The sequence below is a fragment of the Homo sapiens genome, chromosome 9 (genome assembly GCF_000001405.40).
Source record: "Homo sapiens chromosome 9, GRCh38.p14 Primary Assembly".
Lineage (NCBI taxonomy): Eukaryota > Metazoa > Chordata > Mammalia > Primates > Hominidae > Homo > Homo sapiens.
The window spans coordinates 71,441,618-71,447,617 of record NC_000009.12 but is presented as its reverse complement, the minus strand read 5'-3'; the positions used below and the strand labels follow the sequence as shown (position 1 = coordinate 71,447,617).

At 41.4% G+C, this 6,000-nt stretch overlaps 1 protein-coding gene across 4 annotated transcripts in view; it reads left to right on the top strand.

Annotated features, from left to right (window-relative positions):
- TRPM3 (transient receptor potential cation channel subfamily M member 3) overlaps positions 647–6,000 on the top strand; it is a 917,912-nt gene continuing 912,558 nt past the window's right edge. For all 4 annotated transcript variants that reach the window (NM_001366143.2, NM_001366141.2, NM_001366142.2 and 1 more), the window contains exon 1: positions 647–965. In NM_001366143.2, the coding sequence (NP_001353072.1) occupies positions 783–965 (183 nt within the window). In that variant the 5' untranslated portion in view covers positions 647–782. The remainder of the gene's footprint in view (positions 966–6,000) is intronic.

Genomic DNA, 6,000 nt, shown 5'->3' with positions numbered 1-6,000 from the left:
TGGGGATGGAGCAGCTAGAATCACCTTGGGAGCTTTTAAATATCCTGATTCCCAGGCCACAGCCAGGCCAATTAAATTAGACTCTGGGGAATATCACCATTTAAAAAAGAGAAAGAGAAAAAAGATCCAGGTAACTCCAGTGTGCAGCCAAGTCTGAGACCCAGTGGGCTAGTCTGAGCAAGCTGGAGAAGAAATAAGTGCGGCATCTGACAAGGGGATGAAGCTCCACTCTCCCCAAGGATACTTAGGAGCGAGTTGTTGTTGCAGAGAGAGGGGAAGAAAGGGAGCAGGAAGAACAAAGTTGCCCCTTCCTGTCTTTTTCTAAGTCAACTGCAGTCTCCACCCATCCAGTGCGGGTAACCTAGGCTTCCACACGCAGCTCGGGGTGGGGGGAAGTGGGTCCCCTGGTCTGGGGTCCTGGGCAGGGTGAGGTGACCGCTGGGAGCGCTACCCTGCGGCGCATCAACAGCCTCAGGCGTGGGCCCTGCACTCTCCAGAGAAGGCGGCGGCTGCCGGGTGGAGAGCAATTTGGGGACGCAAAAGAAAGCTGGCTCGGGCGCAGGTGGCGCTCGCAGCCCCAGCCCACAGTTGAGCCAATCGCGGGCGCAAGCGCAGCCTGGTGGCGGCGGCGGTAACGGAGCGCGGGGCTCTGGCAGGAGCCGGCGGAGGCAAAGGCAGCGCCAACCGAGAGCCGCGCGCAGGCTGGAGGGAGACCCGCGGCGAGGAGCCAGCGAGAGCGCTCGGCGCTGGGCTGTTTCCCGGCCGAGGGAGGCGAACTTCTCATGGGGAAGAAGTGGAGGGATGCGGCGGAAATGGAGCGGGGCTGCTCCGACCGCGAGGACAACGCGGAGAGCCGCAGACGCAGCCGGAGCGCCAGCCGGGGCAGGTTTGCCGAGTCGTGGAAAAGGTTAAGTTCCAAGCAGGGGTCCACCAAACGCTCGGGACTCCCGTCGCAGCAGACGCCGGTGAGTGGCCGGGGGAGAGCCCCAGTCTTTGCTTTCTTTTCTCCCTTCGCACGCGACTTGAGCCCTTTCCATGGTGCTGAACTTGCCTCCCTAAGGGTGAGAGCCAGGGAACTTGTGGCGCCGCTTCTAATGAAATAGAGTGCTGGGGGCTGTGAGGAAGGGCGAGAAGGAACGTCTTCCCTCCCTTCAGCAGGGGAGGGTCTCCTGACGTCTCTGGCGGCTCTGCAAAAATTGAAAACATGTTCGAGAGGCGAGGGGGCTCGCTGTTAGATCATAAGAGTTTTGCAGTTAACAGAGCGTGTGAGACGTTGTCGAGTGTATTGTGACTCCTGTGTACGTTCCCAAGGGTCTGTCTGTGCAGCATGTCGAAGGTACTCGGCCTCCGCTGAATGAGGGCGGAATAGAAAGGGCATGCCATATTTTTACTCTCTTAGCACTTGCTCTTTCCATCCCACACCCCCACCATTTTAATGGGAGCGTTTAATTGTTTGCAGGATGTCATTTGCATACAGAGAATAGCAAGAATATCCCAGGTGCTTGTAATCCTACTGCTTAACATATACAGCGTTCAGACAAGTTTTCCCATGTGTCAGCTCCTCTTCACTGTCTAATTAGTGCAATAAAAGCACTCCAGTGAAATTAATATAGGCATCATATGTGTGTAGAGAAGTGCAGTTGATAAAAAACTTTAGCTGCATTTGCATTTTGAGTATGTGAATATTATGTTTTCCTTTATCCCAGAGGGAGAGAACGCTGTTCTAGAAGAGAGTGCAAAGTCCTCCTGTTGCTCCTGGGGAAGGAGGATACACCACTTTTAACTTCCCAAACATCATTAAGAATACCAGCCTGTGTGTGTGTTTGTGTGTGTGTATTTGTTTTACATCCAAAGGGCTTGACAGCAGATGTTGTATATTGAAGAGACTTTGATTTAATTAAAAGAGAGAATGGTACATAAGCATTGATCCCACAGCGTGATTAATGTTACCCTGCTCTGTTTTTGGGAAGTCGTCATTGAAGGATAAAAATTAATCCCTGAAAAGTAAGATGTTTAAACATTACTTCCACAGAATGTAATATAAACATTTGAAATTTTTGGTGTGTTTATTTTGGTTGCTTGTTTACAAAAATGTTATGAAATTTCAGGTATTTTTCTCAAATACTTAATGTTTTTTGTGAGCAGGTTTTTTCATCTAAATATGGGTATAGCACCGCTAAAAAGGCAAGTGATTTTACTTCAGGTGTAGAAATATTGTTTAGAAATGTGTACTCGAAAATATTTTTTACAAAAGAATATTAATCTGAAGATAGGTTTTTCTGAAATAAATTATGTGGAAAATATAAAATTCATGACATCTGTTTTTTATCAAGTATGTGAACTAAAAATTCAATCCTCTTTTTAATAGGAAGTCTAAGTGTTAATCTAAGGAACTTCTTATGCTGCATTTTTTATTCTGTTCAACAGGTGTGTGCACAGTCTATATCAGGAACATATAAAATCTTCATATAACTATGTTATAAGTTAGAGTAAATGATTGCAGGTTTGTTACCTAGAATAAAAATGTGGGAAAAGAGCCTAAGAGGGTACCATGACAACCAGAGACATCTGGAAAAGTAACTATGTCCTCCTGTTTGCTAAGGGTGATGATGGTGCTGTAGTTCTCTGTAGTACTTGTTAATTGAAACATTAGTAATTCAGTTAAAAACCAGTTAAGGCAAAAGCCTGTGCTTATTCTCACATTGCATGGCAAGTTTGATATTGATTTTCTTCTAAAACCCTAATAATAAGTGCTTCTAGCTATAATTTTTAATTATCAGTGTTTTAAACAAAGATAGTGAGGTTTTGTAAATCTTAGAGCTAAGATGGTGGTTTTGAACCAAGGTTTGATTCTATAGTTGTTAACAAAGAGTTTTGACTTCATTTGTAAGTGAGACACCCAACTTATCTATGCAAACAGGAGGAAGGAAATCATAATGCTTATAGCAGACATGCTTATAAAAGTTTTTAATCTTTAATGTAAGATTTTTTCTCTCCCTTAAAGTGAGCTGTTAAAAAATAGCCTAACCTGTAAAGATTAAAGCAGTTAATATGATTAATGCTGTTCTTTATTTATTCTTATGAATAAATAAGATATTCCATAATGTAGCTGTGAATCTTATTCATTATGTGTTGTCCCCAAAATATTGTGGTATCCATCCTGACAAAGAAAATATGAGGGGTTCACTCTGTCTTTTGAAGACAAAATAGAAAAATGTGGAAAAATTTGATTAATAGTAAAACATGGGGGCTTTCATAAATCTTTTTTCTTTTGAGAATATAAAATAATTGTTTTTTTAATGTGACATTTGTTACTCTCTTCTCTGCTTTAGTTGGATTCTTGAAATCACTTCCAGTTAAAGTTATTCCGAGGGAATGATATAGTCCATGACTCTGTCCTCAAGGGGAATGATTGTATTAGTTTTTTTTTTTTTTTTTTTGAGATGTATTCTTGCTCTGTCGCCAGGCTGGAGTGCAGTGGCACAATCTTGGCTCACTGCAACTTCCGCCTCCCTGGTTCAAGTGATTCTCCTGCCTCAGCCTCCTGAGTAGCTGGGATTATAGGCACGCACCACCACACCCAGCTAATTTTTGTATTTTTGGTAGAGATGGGGTTTCACCATGTTGGCCAGGATGGTCTCGATCTCCTGACCTCGTGATCTGCCCGCCTTGGCCTCCCGAAGTGCTGGGATTACAGGTATGAGCCACCGTGCCTGACCTAGTTTTCATTTTCACTAGCAACAAAGCATTGCATACATCATAATTAATAGAAGATATTTTCTTTAGTAAGGAGAGTTCTGCTATACTCCTGGTATCCAGAAAGACTTTATTCATGATCTGAGGCATGCTCTTTTGGTATGTAAAGTGTAGGGGAGGTCGGCTTGACTTGACTTTGACAGTTAGATTTCCTACCTACTTATCACTAAATATGTAGGGGTTTTCTTAGAGGTTGGGTAACTCCATGATTTTGACGCTAATCTTAGAAACCCAAAAGTTGCATTTCTGGAAGTCTCTTTGGAGTAAATGAAGTCTTGATGCTCTTATGGAGTATGGCAGGCCTACAGTAGAAAATGTGTGCTATCCCTGCCACTGCCCACTTGGATCTGCTTCTGTTCTGGTGACAGGCAGAAGCAGTGCTGCCCTGTGCAATAGCTGAAGGAAGGGGCAGCTGTTCTGTGTCCTAATAGTGGCATTTAAAATGCATGTTCTCAAGTTCTGGACCACAATAGTGGGTGTGTCTAACAAATCAATCCTTGTTGATTTGAAAAGACTTTTTTTTTTTTCCATTTTTGTAATTCAGGAAACATCTTCTCTCCCATATTTTAAGGCTTCATGGTTTACAATGGAAGCTTTATGAATTCATGTTGCTTTGCTATAATCCATTAATCTACAATATTAAATTACACCCCAAATCATAAAATTCCGATACGGTAAAGTGGTATTTAATTATATTCATTCCTTGGAAATTGTTCCTTTCTGAGATTGCGTCATAGGTCATTTTTCAAATCTAAACTGTTTTTTAGTAAATGTAAAGATGTTGTATATTAATTTCATAGTTTTATTATTATGAAAGTTATACATTTGAAATTCAGATATCAAATTAAGTTTCTGGATATTAATGTTTTAAATACTGTCTGTGTTGAATTGGTCAATAGGTATAAAAGTAATTTAAGACTTCTTTGTCTCCATTCTATAAGATTTGGATTTCATATTTCTTTGTGAATTATTGTTCTTGTTATTCCTGCTATTTGTTTTGATTCTATCTGTGCAGAAATGCATGGAAATCTATTGAAAGGTGATTCAGCAAGTGCTGTCTCGCATTACAAATGTCAGCTGCTCACCACAGCATGTGTGTATTTTTATTTCATCTCAAATTTTTTAATCAGAATATAAAGAAAAAAATCCAGCATTATTTTGGGAAAAAGAGAAAAATAATTTAGATTTCAATTAAGTATATTTATCCTCTCCCAAATTATATGCTCTCCTTTTTAACCTTAATTTAAATTTAACCACACATTTATCTTTACTTATTTATTTTTATTTAGGTAAAATATACATGTACAATTTACCATATTTGCCATTTTTCAGTGTATAGTTTAGTGGTAATAAATGGATTTATATTCTTTTTTCTCCTCCATATCCCCCCTTTCCCTTGCACTTAGCATGTATGTATTTTTAATTTTAAAAGGAGATTTCTCTTTCTACCCCCACAGCTATTTAAAAGCTTGTTTTCAAATAGATGCAGATTTAATTTAGTCTCTGAGTAAACTCTGTAAAAGGAAAAAAAGAAACTGTGCTGAGGGAGTAAAATGATGGAGGTGTAATTAGAGTTGTTTTTCAACCTTAGACAGCACTCTTGCTTCCACTAATGCTATAATTACCCTTATCAGCAGGTACCAACCACAGATTATCACACCTTGTGCAGACAAGTGGGCAACTGAGAGAGTGTATGGAAACAGCAGTGAGTATGTAGAAAGCACAGTGCTGCCAAGTAAGCAAGTCCATTTCAGCTGGTTACCAAAGCTACTCTTCTCACAGCTGTTTGAGATGCTGTGCGTGCAGGAGGGATCCACAAACAAACCTACCATTCGTTTCTGTTGTTGACTTGCCCTCTTTGAGCCTACTAGGTAATTTCCAGTTTTCCCTGCTAAAAGCGAATTCTTTAAGGTCTTAAAATAAATGAAGAAGGCCGGGCACAGTGGCTCATGCCTGTAATCCCAGCATTTTGGGAGGCCGAGGCGGGTGGATCACGAGGTCAGGAGATAGCAGCCATCCTAGCCAACATGGTGAAACCCCATCTCTACTAAAAATACAAAAATTGGCTGGGGGTGGTAGTGCGCGACTGTAGTCCCAGCTACTCAGGAGGCTGAGGCAAGAGAATCACTTGAACCCTGGAGGCAGAGGTTGCAGTGAGCCGAGATCATGCCTTTGCACTCCAGTTTGGCAACAGAGTAAAACTCCGTCTCAGAAAAAAAAAAAAAAAAAAAGCCGAGTCAAAGG